Source organism: Homo sapiens, chromosome X (genome assembly GCF_000001405.40).
Source record: "Homo sapiens chromosome X, GRCh38.p14 Primary Assembly".
In the NCBI taxonomy this organism is placed as follows: Eukaryota; Metazoa; Chordata; class Mammalia; order Primates; family Hominidae; genus Homo; species Homo sapiens.
Genome location: NC_000023.11, coordinates 45,479,559 through 45,505,019, shown reverse-complemented (window position 1 = coordinate 45,505,019; position 25,461 = coordinate 45,479,559). Strand labels below are relative to the sequence as shown.

Genomic DNA, 25,461 nt, shown 5'->3' with positions numbered 1-25,461 from the left:
GAATTCAACTCAGAAAGTTCAAATGAAGAAACTTAAAGAGACCACAACTGGGTTATAAGAACAAATAAGAGGCTCCCTCTCCCTCTCCCTCTCCCTTGTCTCCATCTCCCGCTTTCCACGGTCTTCCCCTCTCCCTCCTCTCCATCTCCCGCTTTCCACGGTCTCCCTCTGTTCCCGAGGCTAGACTGTGCTGCCGCGATCTCGGCTCACTGCAACCTCCCTGCCTGATTCTCCTGCCTCAGCCTGCCGAGTGCCTGGGATTGCAGGCACGCGCCACCACGCCTGACTGGTTTTTGTATTTTTTGGTGGAGACGGGGTTTCCCCGTGTTGGCCGGGCTGGTCTCCAGCTCCTGACCTCGAGTGATCTGCCCCCCTCGGCCTCCCCAGGTGCCGGGATTGCAGACGGAGTCTCGCTCACTCAGTGCTCAATGTTGCCCAGGCTGGAGTGCAGTGGCGTGATCTCGGCTGCTACAACCTCCACCTCCCAGCCGCCTGCCTTGGCCTCCCAAAGTGCTGAGATTGAAGCCTCTGACCGGCCGCCACCCCGTCTAGGAAGTGAGGAGTGTCTCTGCCTGGCGGCCCATCGTCTGGGATGTGAGGTGCCCCTCTGCCTGGCCACCCAGTCTGGGAAGTGAGGAGCGCCTCTTCCCAGCCGCCACCCCATCTAGGAAGTGAGGAGCGTCTCTGCCTGGCCGCCCATCTGGGATGTGAGGAGCCCCTCTGCCCGGCGGCCCAGTCTGGGAAGTGAGGAGCGCATCTTCCCGGCCGTCATCCTGTCTAGGAAGTGAGGAGCGTCTCTGCCTGGCCACCCATCATCTGGGATGTGGGGAGTGCCTCTGCCCGGCCGCCCCGTCTGGGATGTGAGGAGAGCCTCTGCCCGGCCGCCCCCTCTGGGAGGTGAGGAGCACCTCTACCCGGCCGCCACCCCGTCTGGGAGGTGAGGAGCACCTCTGCCCGGCCGCCACCCAGTCTGGGAAGTGAGGAGCGCCTCTGCCCAGCCACCTCGTCTGAGAAGTGAGGAGCCCCTCCACCCAGCAGCCGCCCAGTCTGGGAAGTGAGGAGCGTCTCCGCCCGGCCGCCCGGTCTGGGAGGTGGGGAGTGCCCCTGCCCAGCAGCCACCTGGTCTGGGAGGTGGGGGGCGCCCCCCCGGCCACCCCTTCTGGGAGGTGGGGGGCCCCTCTGCCAGGCTGCCACGTCTGGGAAGTGAGGGGCCCCTCTGCCCGGCCGCCACCCCATCTGGGAGGTGTACCCAACAGCTCATTGAGAACGGACCATGATGACGATGGCGGTTTTGTCGAAAAGAAAAGGGGGAAATGTGGGGAAAAGAAAGAGAGATCAGATTGTTACTGTGTCTGTGTAGAAAGAAGTTGACATAGGAGACACCATTTTGTTCTGTACTAAGAAAAATTCTTCTGCCTTGGGATGCTGTTAATCTATAACCTTACCCCCAACCCCGTGCTCTCTGAAACATGTGCTGTGTCCACTCAGGGTTAAATGGCTTAAGGGCGGTGCAAGATGTGCTTTGTTAAACAGATGCTTGAAGGCAGCATGCTCCTTAAGAGTCATCACCACTCCCTAATCTCAAGTACCCAGGGTCACAAACACTGCGGAAGGCCGCAGGGTCCTCTGCCTAGGAAAACCAGAGACCTTTGTTCACATGTTTATCTACTGACCTTCTCTCCACTATTGTCCTATGTCCCTGCCAAATCCCCCTCTCCGAGAAACACCCAAGAATGATCAATAAATACTAAAAAAATTAAAAAAAAAAAAGAACAAATAAGAGGGTTGAGGCACACAGAGACTAGCACAGCAGGAAGCCTTTACCATCTGAAAGCCTGAGGAGAACACAGGAAAAAACAGAGCCCCTTGTAAGCTGTCACATAGAGGAGGGAAGGGGGTGCACAATGGTGCTATAGTCATAGAAGATCTCAGCTGCTGTCTGAGAAGGAAGGGGTGGAAAGAAATACTTCTACCTGTTTTCCTTTTGTCCTATCTCATGCCTGTGCCTCTGTTGATTGAGCTCAACTAAAGGTGTGGTGGTAAGGAAGTCTGGTGATGCAGTCCATGGGGATCCTCCTCCAAGATCACAGAGCAGGACAGAGAAGGGCAAAGAATGGTATGGGACAGGAACGGAGGAGTGGTAACAGAGAATAACCCTCAGACCAGGGAAGACATCAGCACTTAGCCATGCCCACAACAGTGTCCTGAGTGTAGTAGGGCTCAAGAACTATTTATTCTATGGCAGTCCTCAAAGATAAGCAAGACAATATAGAGGGTTGATGGAACACTGCCATCTATGTGCTCTTTGTTGTTGCTTTTAATTTTCTGTGCTAGTAGTTTTCCTAACACTTGTTACCTTATCTAGAACTGTTCTTTGCTATTTATCCTGATTCTCCCCGTCACCTCCCCACCACCACTGAGAATAAACACAGGCAGTGAGACTGTAAACAGGTTGGTTAACCTTCTGGACCCAAGTTCTGTCTCTAACAATGTGGGGTGTGGACCAGATGCCTGCGGCTTTCTTCCAATCATAAAATGAAACATAAATAAATAAATATCAGTCTTTGCTCCTAACATTGTTAGTGGGGGAAAAAGGAAAAAAATAGGAAGGGAGAGATGAAAATAAATGATGCAGAAAGAGTAGGAAGAATAAGCAAGGATAGCTGAAGTAATTGTTGTTGTTTAGAAACTGTAGATTTTTATGGACTTTACGTAGATTTTTAAATCCATGATAATACTTAGTGAAACTCTTCAGCGTGTGTATATAAGTGGTGAGGATGAGGGAGTGCTCAATAAGCAAATTCAAGCCATTAAATTTCAAATCTGCTTTTCGCAGGAATCCAAAACTTTCCCCAAACAGTTAAACTTTCAAAATGGCAAAAGATCAGTTATGGTTTACTGAAGATTTTGTATTCATTACTAATCATATCAACCATTGGCCAAAGAAGCATGGTAGCCTTTACATTTCTGAGCATCTGGAGATGTTTATTTTACAGCTAATAAAGTGAAAGAGAACCACTCCAGCAATTCCTCTCTAGGAGTCAAAAATAGAACAATTGGAGAAAGGGGATTTAAGTATAATTATCTTAAATTCCTTTAAATCACTCCACTATTTGCAGAACATCTTGAAGACACATCTAAGCTTGTTTGTATAACACTGCTAGAATATTACTGTTCTCTTCTATGAGTCCCTGAGTTTTTTTTTTAACATCCTACTGCCAGGGAAATTTGCTGGGCATACATAAGGATTCATCTTGTATTTTCACTGTGCTTGTCTTCCCTAACTCCCAATAGATTATGTTAGGGGACACCTACTAAGAGCCTCCAGAGTATCTGATACTTACCCAATCAAACCATTCCTCTCACTGTATGACAATATTTTGCCCAACTAGTTGACATCTCTATCACACTGTGGGCTCCCTGAGGGTAGGACTGTAGCTGTCTTGCTCACCATTGTGCATAATGCCTGGAACATAGCATAAATGCTGAAATATTTTTTGAATAAGTGGAATACATGAATACTTTTGCCCTCTTTCCCAAAGTATAAGTCCTCCTGAGGTTAGGAATCCTGCTACTCAAAACAGGTTCCCTTTTCTCAAGTCACCAGTTCAAACCTATCAATAAAAAATGAATGTTTTTGTATGACTAACACAGAGGTGCTCACATATCTGCCTATTTGTCCTACTAATATTTATGGGACACTTACTACGTGCAAGGCTTACGCTAGGCACTGGAAATAAGAGTGAGCAAAACCAGATAAGATGTTCGCCCTCATGGAGTATGTATAGAATTTTATGGGAGACAGTTATTAACCAGATAATCACACAAAGAAGCAAAATATTATAATCAGAAATGCAAATTAAACTATTAAACTGGCAAAATTTAGACAGCTAGATAATGCCAAGTGTTGGTATGGATGTGAGGATCCAGGAATTCTTATGTTCTGCTGGTGGGAGTGTAAACTGGTACAGCTATTCTGGAGAAACCTAGAATTATATAGTCAAAGTTACTGTTACTGATGCCCTATAGTCCAGAAATTCCCAAATAACTTATTATATGGGGCCATAAGGATACGAGTAGATGATCAGATTCATATTCATTGCAAATAACTTGTGGTAGTGAAGAATTTGAAGCAAACTAACCTCTAACTAGAAGAGAGGATAGGTGAATGTAGTAGATGCACCCCATGGAGATGCCCCAGTAATTGGAAACAAATGACTACATCAGAGGTCAGCAAACTGTGACCCACCTCTTGGTTCTGTCTTTTTGTTTATAAATAATTTATAAATAAAGTTCTAGTAGAAAATGGCTATGTCTGTTTCTTTAGGTATTATCTATGGCTGTTTTCACACTACAACAGCAGAGCTGGGTTGCAACAGAGACCACATGACCTGCAAAGCCAAAAATGATTACTATGTGATATCCCTTACAAAAAAAAATGTTTGCTGATCTCTGGACTAGATACACAAGGAGAAACATGGACAGATCTTTAAAACAGTGCTGAGTTTTTAAAAAAGTAAAAAAATAGAATGATATATATATCACCGGTTCTCAAACTTGGCTGTGCATTGAGATCATCTGGAGTAATTTAAGAACTATAATGCCTGGGTCCCATCATAGAGTCTGATTTTTTGGTATGAGCTGCAAGTGAGACATTAGATTAAAGCTATACAGGTGATTCCAATGTGCAGCGATGTTTGAGAACCCCTCAGATGTGTGTGTGTTGTGGGTGTGTATGTGTGTAAACACATATGATACAATATTTTCTTGACCACACAGAAAACTTGAACACAAAACAATAACACAAATTTTGGGAGAACACTTAATGAGCCAAAAGATATATATTAAACATATTGGAATGATTGCATATGAAAGGGAAGAATGGAAATGTCATATGAGTAATTATACATACATACATACATACAAGAATAACTACCAGAGAGGGGCTTTGTGTAAACCAATGACATTAACATTCAATGAGCTGAGAAATATGTTAACTCATCTCTTCCTCTGAAGTCCTAAAAGAAATGTTAACCATTGCATCTGTTATATGACACATATTTAAATGTGTACTGGATATCTCCTCTTGGGTGTCTCAAAGACAAGTTTTATTTAATTAGTCCAAAATTGACCCAAGGTATTTCCCCTCAAGTCTGTACCTAAAGAAGCACTTCTGGAATGGTAAAGTAAAGACTTTAAAAACCTGCTCCTCCATAAAAGCAATGAGAAAACTGGCAAAAAATGTCAAAACCATTTCTTTCAGAACTCTGGAAATTAACCGAAGGCTTTCAACAATTTGAGAATTGTTGATTTAAGAAAAGTGGCTGGGAACAAGGTGGTGGAGTAGAAGGTTCCACTGATCATCGCCCCTGCAACGACATCAATTTAACAATTGTCTACAAAAACAAAACAAAACAAAAAGCTGGAGGCATCACACTACCCAACTTCAAACTATACTACAGGGCTACAGTTACCAAAACTGCATGGTACTGGTACAAGAACAGACACATAGATCAATGGAATGAAACAGAGAACCCAGAAATTAGACTGCAACCCTACAACTATATGATCTTTGACAATCCTGACAAAAACAAGCAATGGGGAAAGGATTCTCTATTTAATAAATGGTGCTGGGATAACTGGCTAGCCATATGCACAAGATTGAAACTGGACCCCTTTTTAATATAATATACAAAAATTAACTCAAGATGGATTAAACACTTAATGTAAAACCCAAAACTATTAAAACTCTGGAAGATAACCTAGGCAATACCATTCAGGACGTAGGCACAGGCAAAGATTTCATGATGAAGACACCAACAGCAATTGCAACAAAAGCTAAAATTGACAAATGGTATCTAATTAAACTAAAGAGCTTCTGCACAGCAAAAGAAACTACCAACAGAGTAAACAGACAACCTACAGAATGGGAGAGACTTTTTGCAAACTCTGCATCTGAACTAAGGTCTAATATCTAGCATCTATATGGGACTTAAACAAATTTACAAGAAAAAAAAACAACCCCATTAAAAAGTGGGCAAATGACATGAACAGAGACTTTTCAAAAGAAGACATACATGTGGCCAATAGTCACATGAAAAAAAGCTCAACATCACTGATCATTAGAGAAATGCAAATCAAAACCACAATAAGATACCATCTAACACCAGTCAGAATGGGTACTATAAAAAAGTCAAAAAATAACAGATGCCGGTGAGGTTGCAGAGAAAAAGGAATGCTTACACACTGTTGGTGGGAATGTAAATTAGTTCAACCATTGTGGAAGACAGTGTGGCAATTCCTCAAAGACCTAAAGATAGAAATACCAATCAACCCAGCAATCCCATTACTGGGTATATACCCAAAGGAATATAAATCAATCTGTTATAAAGACACATGCACACATATGTTCATTGCAGCACTATTCACAAAAACAAAGACATGGAATCAACCCAAATGGCCATCGATGATAGACTGGATAAAGAAAATGCGGTAGATATACACCATGGAATACTATCAGCCATATAAAAGAATGAGATGATGTCCTTTCCAGGGACATGGATAGAGCTGGAAGCAATCATCCTTAGCAAACTAACACGGGATCAGAAAACCAAATACTACATGTTCTCACTTTTAAGTGGGAGCTAAATGATGAGAACACATGGGAACGAAGAGAGGAACAACACACACTGGAGTTGATTGGAAGGTGGAGAGTGGGAGGAGGGAGAGGATCAGGAAAAATAACTAATGGATACTAGGTTTAATACCTGGGTGATGAAATAATCTGGACAACAAACCCCCATGACACACATTTACCTATGTAACAAACCTGCACGTGTACCCCTGAACTTAAAATAAAAGTTAAAAATATCACACAGTGTTCCATAAATGTGAACAATTAGTTCAATTAAAAACAAGCAAAAAGCAAAAACATTGTTAGCAAAAAAGAAAAAAAAAAAACTACACAAAGAAAACACCCTCATAAGATCAGGTGAGCCTTCATAGTACCTGGTTTTAACTATATGAATCGCCAGTGTCACCCCTCCCTCACCACCCCCCGTTTCTCCCTAGCAGCAGCAGTGTGGTACAGAGAGCACTTAGTACTCTCTAAGAACTAAGCAAAGGGGACTTTGTCTTTCAGGTTAGGTACCAGCTTGGCCACAGTTGGGCAGAGCACCAAGTGAGCTCTTGGAGTCTTTGATTCCAGGATTTGATGCTTAGATGGCATCTCTGGCTCTGCCATGGGCCAGAAGAGTGCCCACTGCCCTGAATGGTGAGTTCCAGGCCAGGCAGCATTTACCACAATCTGACTTGAGAGCCCTTGGGTCTTAAGGGAAAATCGGCAATAGTCTTGCAGAACTCCCCATGGTCTACAGTGGCCGTGGCTACAGGGTGAGGCTACTCTGCCTTTAGAAAGGGGAAAGAAGTGTGGCAAGGACTGTCTTATGTTTTGAGTGCCAGCTCAGCCCTAAGAAAGCATAAGAAGTAGCCAGGGAGTGGTTACAGCAAGCCTTGGGTGAGATCCAGTGCTCTACAGCACAGTCATAATGGTGGTGGCCACAGAGGTGCTTGTGTCACAACACCTCCAGCTCTAGGTGAGTCAGAACAGAGAGACTCCATTTTGGAGGGAGAAAGTAATGAAAGAGAGCAAGAACTTCTGCCTGGTAATCCAGAGAATTCTCCCAGATCCTGTCCAAGACCACCAAGGTGGTACCTCTACGAGTCTGCAAGAACCATAGCCTTATGGGGCTGGGGGAGACCCCTAAAGCAGATATGGCTTAGATAATAACACTTAAGTCCTTTCAAGTATCTAGAAAGCCTTCCCAACAAGGAAGGGTGCAAACAACCTCAGATAGTGAAGACTACAATAAATACCTAACTCACCAATACACAGGCACTGAAGATTGTTGACTAGCATCAACACCATCCAGGAAAACATGACCTCACCAAATAAACTAAATAAGCTACCAGGGACCAACCCTGGAGAAACAGAAATATGTGACCTTTTAGATAGAGAATTCAAAATAGCTGTGTTGAGGAAACTCAAAAAATATCAAGATGATACAGAGAAGAAGTTCAGAATTCTATCAGATAAATTTAACAAAGAGATTGAAATATTAAAAAATAATCAAGCAGAAATTCTGGAGCTGAAAAATTTGACTGGAATACTGAAGAATGTGCCAGGGTCTTTTAATAGCAGAATTGATGGAGCAAAAGGAAGAATTAGTAAGCCTGAAGACAGGTTATTTGAAAATACACAGAGGAGACAAAAGAAAAGGAATAAAAAAAAATGAAGCATGCCTACAAGACCTAGAAAATAGCCTCAAAAGGGCAAATCTAAGAGTTATTGGCCTTAAAGAGGAGGTAGAGAAAGAGATAGGGGTAGAAAGTTAATTCAAAGGGATAGTAACGGAGAATTTCCCAAACCTAGAGAAAGATATCAATAACCAAATACAAGAAAGTTATAAAACATCAAGCAGATTTAACTCAAAGAAAACCACCTCATGGCATTAAATAATCAATCCCAAAGGTCAAGAATAAAGAAAAGACCCTAAAAGCAGCAAGATAAAATAAACAAATAACATACAATGGAGCTCTGTAATACGTTTGGCAGGAGACTTTTCAGTGGAAACCTTACGAACCAGGAGAGAGTGGCATGACATATTTAAAGTGCTGAAGGAAAAAACCTTCTACCCTAAAACAGTATATCTGGTGAAAATATCTTTCAAACATGAAGAAGAAATAAAGACTTTCCCAGACAAAGAAAAGCTAAGGGATTTCCTAAACTCCAGACCACTCCTACAAGAAATGCAAAGGGAGTACTTCAGTCAGAAAGAAAAGGATGTTAATTAGCAATAAGTAATCACCTGAAGGTACAAAACTCACTGGTAGTAGTAAATACACAGAACACAGATTATTATAACATAGTAACTGTTGTTATAAACTACTCTTAGCCTAAGTAGAAAGACTAAGCAATGAACCAATCAAAAAAGATAACTATAATAACTTTTCAAGACATAGACTGTACAATAAGACATAAATAGAAAAACGAAAAAGTTAAAAAGCAGGGAGATGAAGTTAAGGCATACAGTTTTTATTATTTTCTTTTCGCTTCTTTGTTTAAGCAAACAGTGTTAAGTTTTTGTCAGGTTAAGTAATGGATTATAAGATAGTATTTGCAAGCCTTCTGGTAACCTCAAACCAAAAAACATACAATGGATACACAAAAAATAAAAAGCAAGAAAATAAATCATATCACCAGAGAAAATCATCTTAACTAAAAAAAGACAGGAAGGAAAGAAAGAAAGAAGACTGCAAAACAATCAGAAAACAAATAACAAAAGGGCAAGAGTAAGTCCTTACTTACCAATAATAATATTGAATGTAAATGAACTAAACTCTACAATCCAAAGACATAGAATGGCTGAATGGATGAAAAAACAAGATCCATTGATCTGTTGCCCACAAGAAACAGACTTCACCTATAAAGACTCATATAGACTTAAAATAAAGGGAGGAAAAAGATATGCCATACAAATGGAAACCAAACAAGAGCAGAAGTAGCTATACTTATATCAGACAAAATAGATTTCAAGATAAAAACTATAAGAAGAGACAAAGAAGGTCACTATATAATAAAGGGGTCAATTCAACAATAGGAGATAATGACTATAAATATATATGCACCCAACACATGAGCACCACAGATATATAAAGAAAATATCATTAGAACTAAAGAGAGAGATAGGCCCCAATACAATAACAGCTGGAGACTTCAACACCCCACTTTCAGCATTGGACAGATTTTTTAGACAGAAAATCAACAAAGAAACAGACTTAATATGCACTACAGATCAAATGGATCCAATAGATATTTAGAGAACATTTCATCCAGTGGTCACAGAATACACATTTTTTTCCTCAGCACATGTATCATTATCAAAGATGGACTATACATTAGCTCACAAAACAAGTCTTAAAACACTCAATAAAATAGAAATAATATCAAGTGTCTTCTCTGACCACAAAAGAATAAAACTAGAAATCAATAATAAGAGGAATTTTTGAAACTATACAAAGACATGGAAATTAAACAATCTGTTCCTGAATGATCAGTGGTCAATGAAGAAACTAAGAAGGAAATTTAAAAAATTCTTGAAGGGAATGATAATGGAAACACAACATACCAAACCTATGGGATGCAGCAAAAGCAGTACTATGAGGGAGGCGTCTAGCTCTAAGTGTCTACATCAAAAAAGAGGAAAAACTTCAAATAAACAATCTAATTATGCATCTTAAAGAAGTAAAAAAGCAAGAGCAAACTACTCACACAAAGTTAGTAGAAGAAAAGAAATAATAAAGATCAGAGAAGAAATAAGTGAATTTGAAATGAAGAAAATAATAAAAAAGATCAACGAAACAAAAGGTCAAAAAGTTATGTTTAACTTTTCAAAAAAGACAAACCTTTAGCCAGACTAGGGAAAAAGGTAGAAGATCTAAATATATAAAATGAAAAAGAGACATTACATCTGATACTGCAGAAATTCAAAAGATCACTAATGGCTACTATGAGCCATGATATGCCAATAAATTGGAAAATCTAGAGAAATAGACAAATTCCTGTATACATACAATCTACCAAGATTGAACCATGAAGAAATCCAACACCTTAACAGACCAATAACAAGTAATGAGATCAAAGCCATAACAAAAAGCCTCCCGGTAAAGAAAAGCCCAGGACCCCAATGGCTTTACTGCTCAATTCTACCAAACATTTACAGAAGAAGTAATATCAACCCTACTGAAAAATAGAGGAGGAGGGAATACTTCCAAACTTATTCTATGAGGCTAACATTATTCTGATGCCAAAACTGGACAAAGGCACATTAAAAAAAAAAAAAAAACTACAAGCCACTATCTCTCATGAATATTTATGCAAAAATTCTCAACAAAATACTAGCAAACAGAATTCAACAATACATTAGAAAGATCATCCATCATGACCAAGTGAAATTTATCCCTGGGATGCAAGGATGGTTCAATATATGCAAATCAATCAGCATGATACATTGTAATAGAATGAAGGGCAAAAACCATATGATCATTTCAACTGATACTGAAAAATAATTTGATAAAATTCAACACCCCTTCATGATAAAAACCATCAAAAAACTGCATATAGAAGGAGCATACCTCAACATAATAAAAGCCATATATGACAGACCCACAAGCTGCCATTTTCACATACCAACAGCAAGTAATCTGAAAAAGAAATTAAAAAGTAATCCCATTGACAATAGCCACAAATAAAATTAAACACCTAGGAATTAACCAAAGAAATGAAAGATCTCTATAATGAAAACTATGAAACATTGATGAAAGAAATTGAAGAGGACACCAAAAAATAAAAAGATAATCCATGTTCATGAATTGGAAGAATCAATATTGTTAAAATGTCCATATTACCCAAAGCAACCTGTAGATTCAATGCAATCCCTATCAAAATACCAATAACATTCTTCACAGAAATATAAAACAGAATCCTAAAATGTATATGGTACCACAAAATATCCAGAATAGCTCTAAGCAAAAAGAACAAAACTGGAGGAATTGCATTACCTGACTTCAAATTATACTACAGAGCCATAGTAATCAAAACAGCATGATACTGGCATAAAAAAAGACACATGGACCTATGGAGCAGAATAGAGAACCCAGAAACAGATCCGCACGCTTACAGTAAACTCATTTTTGACAAAGATGCCAAGAGCATACACTGGGGAAAAGGCAGTCTTTTCAATAAATGGTGCTGAGAAACCTGGATATCCATATGCAGAAGAATGTAACTAGACCCCTATCTCTCACCATATATAAAAATCAAATCAAAATGGATTAAAGACTTAAATCTAAGACCTCAAACTGAAACTCCTACAAGAAAATATTGGGAAAATCTCCAGGACATTGATCTGGGCTAAGATTACTTAAGCAATACCCCACAAGTACAGGCAAGCAAAGCAAAATGGACAAATGGGATTGCATCAAATTTAAAAGCTCTCCACAGCAAAGGACACAATCAACAAAGTGAAGAATGGGAGAAAATATTTGCAAACTACCCATCTGACTAGGGATTAATAACCAGAATATATAAGGAGCTCAAACAACTCTTCAGGAAAAAAAAAAGTCAAACAATCTGATCAAAAAATGGGCAAAAGATTTTTATAGACATTTATTGAAAGAAGACATACAAATGGCAAACAGGCATATATAAAAGTGCTCAACATCATTGATAATCAGAGAAATGCAAATAAAAACTACAGTGAGATATCATCTCACCTTAGTTGATATGGTTTGGCTGTGCCCCCACCCAAATCTCATCTTGAATTGTAGCTCCCATAATCCACATGTGTTGTGGGAGAGACCTGATGGGAGGTAACTGAATCATGGAGGCAGGTTTTCCTGTGCCGTTATCATGATAGTGAATAAGTCTCACAAGATCTGATGGTTTTTTATGAAGGGCAGTTCCCCCTGCACATGCTCTCTGGCCTGTTGCCATGTAAGATGTGCCTTTGCTCCTCCTTTGTCTTCTGCCATGATTGTGAGGCCTCCCCAGCCATGCTGAACCGTGAATCAATTAAATCTCTTTCCTTTATAAGTTACCTAGTCTTGGGTAAGTCTTTATTAGCAGCATGAGAACAGACTAATATAGCACATTGTTACCAAGAGTGAAGTGCTGCTGTAAAGATACCTGTGTCATGGGAAGGACCCAGTGGGAGGTAATTGAATCATGGGGCAGGTTTCTCCCATGTTGTTCTTGTGATAGTAAATAAGTCTCATGAGATCTGATGGTTTTATAAAGGGCAGTTCCCCTGCACATGCTCTCTTGCCTGCCACCATGTAAGATGTACCTTTGCTCCTCCTTTGCCTTCTGCCATGATTGTGAGGCCTCCCCAGCCATGCTGAACTGTAAGTCAATTAAACCTCTTTCCTTTATAAATTACTCAGTCTTGAGTATGTCTTTACTAGCAGGATCAGAACGGACTAATATAATACACCAGTTAAAATGGCTTATATTCAAAAGTCAGGCAATAATAAATGCTGGTGAGAATGTGGAGAAAAGGGAACCCTAGTACACTGTTGGTGGGAATGTAAATTAGTACAACCAGTATGGAGAACAGTTTGAAGTTCCTCAGAAACTAGAAATAGAGCTAACATATATGATCCAGATATCCCGCTGCTGGGAATATACCCAAAATAAAGGAAATCTGTATATTGAAGAAACATCTGCACTCTCATGTTTATTGCAGCACTGTTCACCATCCCAAGATTTGGAAGCAACCTAAGTGTCCATCAACAGATGAATGGATAGAAAAAATGTGATACATATACACAAAGGAGTACTATTCAGCCATAAAAAAGAATGAGATCTGGCCAGGCGTGTTGGCTCATGCTTGTAATCCCAGCATTTCGGGAGGCTGAGGTGGGTGGATCACCTGAGGTCAGGAGTTCCAGACCAGCCTGGCAAATATGGTGAAACCCCATCTCTACTAAAAACACAAAAATTAGCTGGGTGTGGTGGTGGGCACCTGTAATCCCTGCTACTCAGGAGGCTGAGGCAGGAGAATCGCTTGAATTCGGGAGGTGGAGGTTGCAGTGAGCCGAGATTGCGCCACTGCACTCCAGCCTGGGTGACAGAGCAAGACTCTGTCTCAAAAAAAAAAAAAAAAAAAAAAAAAAGAATGAGATCCTGTCATTTGCAACAACATGGATGGAACTGGAGATCACTATGTTAAGTGAAATAAGCCAGGCACAGAATGACAAACATCACACATTTTCACCTATTTCTGGGATCTAAAAATCAAAGCAATTGAACTTACGGACATAGAGAATAGAAGGATGGTTACCACAGGCTGGGAAGGACAGTGGAGCTGGTGGGGGGAAGGTGTGATGGTTAATGGCTACAACAAAAATAGAAAGAATGAATAAGACCTAGTATTTGATAGCACAACAGGGTGACTACAGTCAATAATAACTTAATTGTACATTTTAAAATAACTAAAAGAGTTTAATTGGATTGTTTGTAACACAAAGGATAAATGCTTGAGGGGAAGGATACCCCATTCTTCATGTTGTGATTATTTCACATTGCATGCCTGTATCAAAACATCTCATGTGCCCCATAAGTAGATATACCTAGTATGTATCGTCAAAAATTAAAAATTAAAAAAATTTTTAAAAAGAAAATTGGCTGAGTCCCAGTAAGAATGGTAAGCTCTGTGGTATTGTAACTTGCCTTATTTTCATCCCCACTGCTCCAGTTCTGCAGCAGTCTTTGAAAACCAGCACCCTCAAAATCACAGTAGCTGTGAAAACCAGCAATCTAGCAGCAACTGGAAGGGGCAAGCCCAGGAAATACTTCAAGGCCCTAATTTGTCACCTCTGGCTAAAACTAATGCTCTCTGAAAGCAGGAAATTAAGGATCAGGTAAAGTTTCAAACTGCTGAGGCATTGAAAGTGTTCCTCAACACTCACTCAGAGCCCTTTGGCAAAGTGTGGAAGATTTGTGATTCAAAGTATTTAAGGAAATCTCCATTCAAACATTAGCTGACTGCTAAGCTAAATGAGCAGAAACTTTAGTCACAGTACACAACAAAGAATACAGACTTTATAGAATTGATCCAGGAGAGTCATTAAACCAACAGTGAAAACAACAACACACTTTGAGGAGGGAAGGATCTGATTGCCAGAGATTCAACATTATATTATTTAAAATGTCCAGTTTTCAACAAAAAATTATGAGACATACAAAAAAGCAGGAATGCGTGAGAATGATATTTAATGAAATAGAGAATACGAATAAAAGGGATAGAAATTATAACAAAAGAACCAAACAGAAATTCTAAAGTATATATATACTAAATTGCTTCCATTATTATTTTATTTTTTTTAAAAAGCAAAAAAGTACTTCCTATTTTATCAGTAATTATATAAAATGTATACAGTTTAAACATTCCAAGCCAAAGGCACAAACTGGAAGTATAGTAAAGAATCATGATCCAACCACATGCTGTCCATAAAGGACACACTAGATTAAAAGCCACCAATAGAGGAAAGTAAGAGGATGGAAAAAGATACACTGTGAAAATGGTAGCTAAAAGAGACCTGAAGTGGTCGTATTAATATCCAACAAAATAGACTTGAAGACAAAAGTTTTTCTACCAACAAAGGAGGACAATTTTTGGAACACTCTCAGTAACTTTATTTGATTTAGTATTGTTCAGAGAAAATATACAAGTTTAAAATGACTTCAAATAATATCAGCATTGGCCACTCAAAAAAATCAATAAAATAGAAGACAAATTTAGTTATTATTTCTGTGATTCATTGCAAATGTAGGACATCTTTATAAACAAATCTATTTTTGCTTTTAGAACTATTGTTAATTAACACATAATAATTATACATATTTATGGGGTAAAGTATGATATTTTAATACATGTATATAATATGAAATGATCAAATCAGAGTAATTAGCATATCCATCACCTCAAACACCTATTATTTCTTTGTGTTGGGAACATTTCAAATCCACTCTTCTAGCTGTTTGAAAATATACAATAAATTGTTCATTATAGTCACTCTATATTGCTATAGAACCCTAGAACTTATTCCTCTTAACTAGATGAAATTCTGTATCGATTAACCAACCTTTGGCTATCCCCTCCCTGACCCGCCACATTTTCCTGCCTCTAGTAACCACTATAGTACTCTCTACTTCTATGAAATCAACATTTTTAGCTTCCACATGTGAGTGAGAACATGTGGTATTTATCTTTCTGTGCCAGGCTTATTTTACTTAACATAATGTCCTGTAAGCTCACGCATGTTGCCACAAATTGCAGAATTTTGTTCTGTTATATGGCTAAATATTTTTTTGTGTATATACACCACATTTTTCTTTATCCATTTATCAGTTGATGGACACTTAGGTTGTTTCATATCTTGGCTATTGTGAATAGTGTTACAATAAACATGGGAGTGTAGATATCTTTTTGACATACTAATTTCCTTTCCTTTGGATATACAACCAGAAGTGGCATTGCTGCATCATAAGGTAGTTTTATTTTCAGTTTCTTTAGGGATTTCCATACTGATTTCTATATTACTGCACTAATTTTCATTCTCATTAACAGTGTATAAGAGTTCCCCCTTCTCCACATCTTCACCAGCATTAGTTACTTTTTGCCTTTTTTATAATAGCCATTCTAACTGGGATGAGATGATGCCTCATTGAGGTTTTAATTTGTATTTCCCTGATGATTAGTGGTGTTGAGCATTTTTTCATATACCTGTTGGCCATTTGTATAAAGAAGGACATTTTATAAAGATAAAAGTGTGACTATATCAGGAAGACATAACAATCATAAACATGCATGCAACTAACAATAGAGCTCAAAATACACTAAGCAAAAATTAACATAATTGGAGGGAGAAATAGATAATTTGTTGTTGTTGTTGTTGAGATAGAGTCTCACTCCATCACTCAGGCTGGAGTGCAGTGGTGCAATCTTGACTCACTGAAACCTTTGCCTCCCAAGTTTAGTAGAGACAGGGTTTCACCATGTTAATCAGGCTGGTCTCTAACTCCTGAATTCAAGCGATCCACCTGCCTTGGCCTCCCAAAGTTCTGGGATTACAGGCATAAGCCACTGTGCCTGGCCAGAAATAGACAATTTAAAAGTAATAGTTGAGACTCCAATACCACACTTTCAATAATGGATAGAATAACTAGACAGAAGATCAACAAGGAAATAGAAAACTTGAATAACACTATAAACCAACCAGACCTGACAGACATTTATAGAATGTCCTTCTTGTCTTAGCTTGTTTGGGCTACTATAAGAAAATACTTTAATACTTTAGAATGGGTATTTTAGAAACAGTAAAAATTTATTGCTCACAAATTTGGAAGCTTAAAAGTCAAAGATCAAGGTGCTGGCAGATTTGGTGTTAGGTGAGGGCCTGTTACCCCTAGATGGTGCCTTCTAGATGCATCCTCACATAGCTGTAGGGGTAAAGGGGCTACCTCAAGCTTCTTTTATAAGGGCACTAATCCCATTCATAAGAGCTCTGCCTTCATGACCTAATCACATCCCAAAGGCCCCACATCTTAATACTATCACATTGGGTATTAGGTTTTAACATATGAATTTTGGGGGAACACAAAGCTTTAGACCATAGCATTCTGCTCCTGGCACCCCGCAATTTTTGTACTTCTCACATGCAAAATACATTCATTCTATTAGCCTCAAAGTCCACATCTTCACCAGCATTTCTTATTTTTTGTTTTTTTTGATAATTGTCATTCTAACTAGGATGAGATGACATATTTCCAGCATCAACTCAAAAGCCTGAAGTCCAAAGTCTCATCTAAATATGATCTAAATCTGAAATGAATGAGACTTAAGGTGGGACATATCCTGAGGCAAATTCCCTTCCAACTTTGAGCCTGTGAAATCAAACAAGTTAAGTGTTTCCAAAATATAGTGATGGGACAGGCATGGGGTAGATATTCCTATTCTAAAAGAGAGACATAGGAAAAAAGAAAAGAGTAATAGATCCCAAATAAGTCTAAAACACAACAGGAAAAATGCATTAAATCTTAAGGCTTGAGAATAATTTTCTTTGACTCCATGTCCTGCTTTCCAGACATAGTGAGGTGAGGGTTGGGCCTCCAAGGGTCCAGTCGGCCCCACCCCCATCACTTTGCTGGGCACAGCCCACACAGAAACTCTTATAGATTGAAGTTGGTTGCCTGCAGCTCTCCCAGGCTGGAGTTGCACACTGGTAGCTTTATAGTTCTGGAGTCTCAGGGGCAGCCCCTCCTGCATGAGTCCTGTGGACATTGCCCTAATGGGGGCTCTTTGTGGTGACTCTAACTCCACAGTTCTGCTGGGCATTGCCCTAGCAAAGATGCCCTGTGTGGCCCTGCTTCTGTGGCAGTTTTCTGCCTGGGCCCTGAGGCTCTCTGGGGCATCCTTTGAAATCTAGATGGAGGTAGTCATGCCTCCGTAGCTCATATACTCTGTGCATCCATGGAGATGGCACTGTGTAGGTGCTACCATGATTTTCTGCCTGTGCCTTCCAGAGGAGTGACTTGAGCTGCACCTGGTCTCACTTGCACCACAGCAGGGGTGGCCCAGGAGTACTACACCAGAATTGGGGGAGCAGAGCCTGGAAATCATTCGGCCCCCGAGACCCTAGCATTCTGGGTCTGTGGTGGGTAGAGCAGCCCTGAAGTTCTCTGAGATACCTTCAGAAGCATTCTTCCATTGTATTGATGAATAGCATATGGCTTTTTTCTATCCATACTAATCTCCCTATCAAATGGTTGCTTGGCCACACTCTTGGTGGTCTCTTCTGAACATGCTTTTTTATTCCTTACAACTTGGCCAGGCTGAGAATTTTCCAAATCTTTAAGTTCTGCTTCCTTTTTGATTATAAGTTCTGTCTTTAATCTCTCTTCTCATATTTTACTATAAGTAGTCAAGAGAAACCACGCTGCATCCTCAGCACTTTGCTTAGATATTTCTTCCACCAAATATCCTATTTCATCAACTCAGAAGTTCTTCCTTACACAAAACACTAGGACACAGACATAATTCAGCCAAGTTATTTGCTACTTTATAACAATAGTTGCCTTTCCTTCAGTTTCAGTAACATGTTCCTCATTTCTGTCTAAGCCTTCAGCAGGATAGCTTTTACTGCTCATATTTCTACTAACATTCTGTTCATGACCTCTTAGGTAATCCCTAAGAGGATTGAGGCTTTCTCTACAGCTCTCTATTTCTTTTGAGCCCCCACCAGAATAACCCTTTATGGTCCATTCATGGCAATAGAAGCTTTTTTTTTCAGCATGTACCACCAAACTTTTCCAGCCTCTACTCATTACCTAGTTTCAAAGCTACTACCACATTTTTAGATATTTGTCACAGCAGCACTCTATCTCAGTATCAATTTCTGTCTTAGTCCATTAAGGTTGCTAAAACAAAATACCTTAGATTGGGTAATTTAGAAACAATAAAAATTTATTACTCACAGTTCTGGAGGCTTGGAAGTCCAAGGTCAAGGTGCTGGCAGATATGGTATCCGTTAAGGGCTCATTACTCACAGATGGCACTTTCTAGCCTTGTCCTCACATGGAGCAAGAGACAAATAGGCTCTCTCAAGTATATTTTATAAGGCCACTAATCCCATTCATGAGGGCTCTGCTCTCATGACATAATTACCTCCCAAAGGCCCTACCTCTTAATACTATCGCATTGGGTATTAAGTTTCAACATATACATTTTGAGGGGACACAAAGCTTCAGACCATATAGCACTGCCTGACAACAGAAGAATATGTATTTTTTTTTTCAAATTCAATGGAACATTCTCCAGGAGAGACCACCGTTAAACCATCACACAAGCCTCAATAAATTTAGAAAGATTAAAATGATTCGAAGTATGTTCTTCAGCCTCAATGTTATGAAATTTAAAATGAATAACAGAAGGAAATTTGGGAAATTCACAAATATGTCAAAATTAAACAACACACTTCCAAATAACAAGTGGGTCAAAAAAGAAATTATGAGGAAAACTGAAAAATACTTTGAAATGAATGAAAAACAAAAATACAATATATAACAGTTTTGTTATGTTGTTAAGCCATGCTTTAGAAATAAATTTATGGTTGTAAACATCTATATTAAAAAAGAAGAAAGAGGCTGGGTGTGGTGGCTCATGCCCGTAATCCCAGCGCTTTGGGAGGCCGAGGTGGGTGGATCACTTGAGGCCAGGAGTTCGAGACCAGCCTGGCCAGCATGGCAAAACCCCGTCTCTCCTAAAAATACAAAAATTAGAAGGGCATGGTGGCATGCGCCTGTAATCCCAGCTACTCAGGAGGCTGAGACACAAGCATTGCTTGAACCTGGGAGACAGAGGTTGCAGTGAGCCAAGATCACGCCACTGCACTCCATCCTGGGTGACAGAGCAAGACTCTGTCTCAAAAAAAAAAAAAAAAGAAGAAGAAAAAGAAGAAAGACCTCAAGTGAGTAACCTAAACTTCCACTGTATTAAACTAGAAAAAGAGTTAACTAAACCCAAAGCAAGAAGAATAAAGGAAATGATAAAGATTAGACCAGAAATAAATGAAATAGAGAGTAGAAAAACAGTAAGAATATCAATAAAGCTAAAGTTGGTTCTTTTAAAAGTCAACAAAATTGACAAACTTCTAGCTAGAAAAGACTCAAATTACTAAAATCAGGAAATAAAGGGAATATTACACCAACCTTATACAAATGAAAAAAAAGAAAAGTTAATACTATGAAAAACTGTTTGTAAACAAATTAGATAGCACAGATGAAATGGACGCATTCCTAGAAATACACAAACCACTGATCCTGACTCAAGAAGAAATGTACAATCTTAATGGACTTATAAAAGGAAAAAAGATTAAACTGATAATTCTAAAAATTCTTGCAAAGCAAAGCTTAGGCCCAGATGGCTTCACTGCTGGATTCTACCAAACATTTAAAAAAGAATTAATATAAATTGTACACAAACTGTTTCAAAAAACAGAAGAGGAGAGAACATTTTCAAACTCATTATATAAGGCCAGTATTAATCTAATAGCAAAACCAAACAAAAAAAAAATAAGAACATAAAGCTACAGACCAATATCTTTTACGATCATGGATGCAAACATCCCTGACAAATTACTAGCAAGTTGAAACTGACAATATATTTAAAAGTTTATATATCACAACCAAGTGAGATTGATTTCAGGGGTGCAAGATTGGTGCTGGAACAACTGGATATCCACATGTAAAATCACAAGTTTGGACCTCTTTCTCATACTATACACAAACATTAACTCAAAATACATCATAGACCTAAACATAAGACTTAACACTATAAAACTCTTAGACCTTGGATTTGGCAATGGAGTCTTAGCTACAACATTAAAAGCAAAAGCAGTCATGGAAAAAAATAGGTAAATTGGACTTCATAAAAATTAAAAACAGTTGTTCTTCAAAGGAAACTATCAACAAAGTAAAAGGACCATTCACAGATACGTAAATTTGTTAAGTGACTTGTATCTACAATGAAGAACTTCTATAACCAAACAATAAAAAGACAAATAACCCAATTTTAAATAATGAGCAAAGTATTTGAATAGACATTTCTCCAAAGAAGATATATAAATGTCTAATAAACTCATGAAAAGATGCTCAGTATCAATGGTCATTAGGGAAATGCAAATTAAAACTACAATGAGATACCACTTCGCACCCACAATAATGGTTGTAATAAAAAAGTCAGGCAACACAAGTGTGGGAAAGGATGTAGAGAAACTGGAACACTCATTCATTGCTGATGGGACTGTAAAATGGTACAGCCAATTTGGAAAACAGTTATATAGCTTCTCAAAATGTTAAACACAGAGTTACCACCTAACTCAGTAATTCCACTCTTAGGTATATACCCAAGAGAAAAGAAAACATGTTTCCACACAAAAATTTGCACACGCATGTTCCCAGCAGGATTATTCATAATGGCCAAAACGTTGAAATAACTCAAATGTCCATCAGCTGATGGGCAAACAAAACATGGTATAGTCATTCTGTGGAATATTATTCAGCTATAAAAAAAGAATAGAGTATTGATACATGGTATAGCATGGGTGGATATTGAAAAAATTATGATAAGTAAAAGAAGCCAGTCACAAAAGATCACATATTGCAGGAGTCCCTAACCCCTGGGCCACAGACCAGTACCAGTTTGTGGCCTGTTAGGAACCGGGCCGCACAGCAGGAGGTGAGTGGCGGGCAAGCAAGCAAAGCTTCATCTGTATTTACAGCTGCTCCCCATCACTTACATAACCACCTGAGCTCCACTTCCTGTCAGATCAGCAGTGGCATTAGATTTTCATAGGAGCATGAACCCTACTGTGAACTGTGCATGCAAACAAGGCTGCACACTCTTTATGAGAATGTAATGCCTGACGATCTGTCATGGCCTTCCATCACCCTCAGATGGAACCGTTTAGTTGCAGGAAAACAAGCTAGGGCCCACTGATTCACATTATAGTGAGTTGTATAATTATTTCATTATATATTACAATGTAATAATAGTAGAAATAAAGTGCACAATAAATGTAATGCACTTGAATCATCCTGAAACCATACCTCCCTCATGGTCCATGGAAAAATTGTCTTTCATGAAGCTGGTCCCTGGTGCCAAAAACATTGGGGACCACTGACATATTGTATGATTCCATTCATATGAAATGCCAGAATAGGCAAATCATTAGACAGAAAGTAGATTAGTTTTTGTCAGAGGCTGAGGAGGAAAGCACAATGGTGAGGGACTGCTAATGGATATGGGGTTTCTTTTTCAGGTGATGAAAATGTTATCAAATAAGATAGTGGTAATGGTTTTCTATGTCTACAAATATGCTATGACAAGTGAAATATTGAACTGTACACTTTAAAGGGTAAATTTTATAGTATGCAAATTATATCTTAATAAAGATGCTATTAAAAAATCTATGCCGATATTCCCATATTCCTTATTTTAGTGAATGCCAAAATGTTTCATCCATTTATATAAGCCAGTAACCTTCTTCGACAGATTTTGTTCCTACTCCCTTTTTAGTCTACCACCAATTCCTACCAATCTCTTCTCCTACATATGGCTGTTCAGGCCTTTGTTTTTCTACCACCATCCAAGCCCAATTCACCATTATTTCTTGCCTGAAATATCCAATAGTCAATTAACTAGTCATCCTGCATCTGCTCCTACCTGTTCCCCTATTCATTCTTCACCTAACAGCCAGAGTAATCCTTTCAAAATGAAAAAAGAATTAATAAGCATTTTTATTAAAGCAAAACTTACATAAATAAAAGTGTACACATTCTTAGCATCTAGTTTTGTGAATTACCACAAAGTGAATATGCCCATGAAAACGCCATCCAGATTAGGAAATAAAACATTACCAACATCCCAGGAGCTCCCCCACTTTACGTTCCTTTTCATTTAGTACTACCTCTCCTCTCAATATCCTTTCTACCATTATATATTGGTTTCAACCTAGTTCTGAAGTGTATGCAAAGGGAGTCATAGAAAAAGTACGCTTTTGTATCTGGATTTTTCCATTTGATAGTATGTATGGGAGATTCATCCAGTTACTGTGTGTAGGAGATGATCCTTAATTTTTGTTGTTGTATTTCACTTTTTTATTTAATATAATTTATCCATTCTGTAGTTGATAGACTGCTCAACCCACTTCTGGGTTGAGGCTGTTATGAACATACTTGTACAAGTATTTTGGGATTCATAAGTATGCATCTCTGTTGAGTATATACATTGGAGTGGAATTGCTGGGTCATAGGGTATGTGCATGTTTGGTGTTAGTAGATACTTCCATGTAGTTTTCCAATGTGGTTGTACAAATTTACACTTCCACCAGCAGAGTATGAGAGTTCCAGTTGCTTCATATTCTCACCAGCACTTAGTATTGTCAGTCTTTTAAAATTTGGCCATTCTTACTGTCATCTTGCCATTTCCTCAATGAAAAATAAGGTTAATACCATTTTAGATAATTAATGGCCATTTGATTATACTCTTTTGTGGGATTCCTATTCAAATATTTTGCTCATTTTTCCATTGCGGTATCTGAATTTTCCTTATAATATTCTAGATCTGAGTTTTGTGGCTTGCCCATTCACTCTCTTATTGGTGTTCTTTAAGAATATAAATTCTTAAAATAGCCCAATTTATTGATCAATATGGTCCAATTTATTGATCTTCTCCTTTATGGTTGGCACTTTTTGTGTCCTATTTAGAAATCTTTTCCAAGGTAATGAAGCTCTTCTCCTCCACTATCTTCCAGAAGTTTTATTGTTTTCTCTTTTACATTGAGGTCCACAATTTATCTGGAATTAATTTTTGGTTATGGTATAAAGTAGAGGTTAAGATACATCTTTCTTTCCACGTGATTTTCCAATTGACCCAACACCATTTATTGATAAGAATATCTTTTGCCTACCAAAATGAAAATGTAATTATGCTGGATTGGAGAGGAGAATAAAACTCTGGGCTTGGGATTCAAAATTATTTCTTATGGTATATTTTAACCTGAAACCAAGGTGTTATGGCTAAACTCCAGCAGAAAGCCTCTGTTACCTAGAACTGTTAATGAGCCCTCCCATCTGGAAGGAGAACAGAGAAGTAATCTTGAAATTGTAATTATTACCACACTCAATGCCATGAACTACCTGAATAGTTATGAACGAACTTCTGTTGATGGTTATACCCCTAAATCTCCCCAAAACTGAAGACAATTATGTCTACCCCTAGACAAATGAGTATTTGCTGTGCAAATGACCCTCTGAGGAGAAAGGTACTGACAATCCTTTGGGTACAAAGTGCTCTGATCTCCTTGGGTTGTAGAGATGTAAGCCAATTGTTTTGTCTTTTTCTCATTTCAGTATTGCAAAGACAAAGAGAATCAACTTTTAATTTATGTATCACTTTGGATTTTTCCCACTGCCAATCAGATTTCTGGGCGAGAGCTCCTCATGAATTTTCTGACAGCTACATGGATCACATGGGTGAGTTGTTCCTGATGTCTGATCCCTGATCCTTATGGATGCCTGGAAGTCTGAAACAACACATAGCTGGCCTATTACTCATTCTCCCTACACTACTGAGCTCCAGTGTTGCCCCTTCCCTAGGCTTAACCTCTCCCCCTATATTTGCTGACAGTCTCTTTGAAAAATTCTCATAACATATAGATACTGTCTAAGCTTTTGAACAAGTCTACTCCCCTTGACGTCAACTGTTCTGTTGATTTCCCCCAGCCTAATCCCTTACCACTCCCTTCTTTGCTATTCATGCTTGGTATAGTTTCTAGCACTCATCATGCTGATTCATGCCTCTTTACTTTTAGTTGTAATGTTTTCCCTGCCTAGACTACCTTCATTTCCCCACCTTCATTTCCACGCTAGAGGTGAAATTTAGAAACCTTCAAAAATCTATTAGTCACCAGGAAGCTTTCCTATGACTCAGGTAGGCTAAATGCCCATACCTACGTCTGTAACCACATATACCACATGATATCAGAGAGTGTGTTTATGTGTCCATTTCTCTTATGTTGGTTCTACATCTTATCTTTAGTCTCCCAACATCGAACACAACGCCTGGCACATTATAGTTGTTTAATAAATTCATGTTGAATGCACCTGAACAGCAGTAGTACAAGGAAAAGATTAACTTGCTCAGAAACTCTTGCATTTGGAGCTGAGGACCAAGTGGGTTGAAGTATTAAACATACTGCTGAGGTTGCTTGCCTTGGTTGGGGTCAGCCTAGACAACCACTCAGTCTAGAGTCACAGAGGAGACTTAAAGCTCAAAAGTT

General features: G+C 38.8%; 1 annotated feature.

The window, feature by feature from the left end:
* Positions 23,755–24,954: an enhancer, noted in NCBI's record as "MED14-independent group 3 enhancer chrX:45339311-45340510 (GRCh37/hg19 assembly coordinates)". NCBI's record gives its function as "activates an origin of replication core promoter dependent on BRD2, BRD4, P300/CBP and CDK7 cofactors, and independent of MED14, by STARR-seq in HCT116 cells {active_cell/tissue: HCT116}" and the evidence as "EXISTENCE:reporter gene assay evidence [ECO:0000049][PMID:35650434]".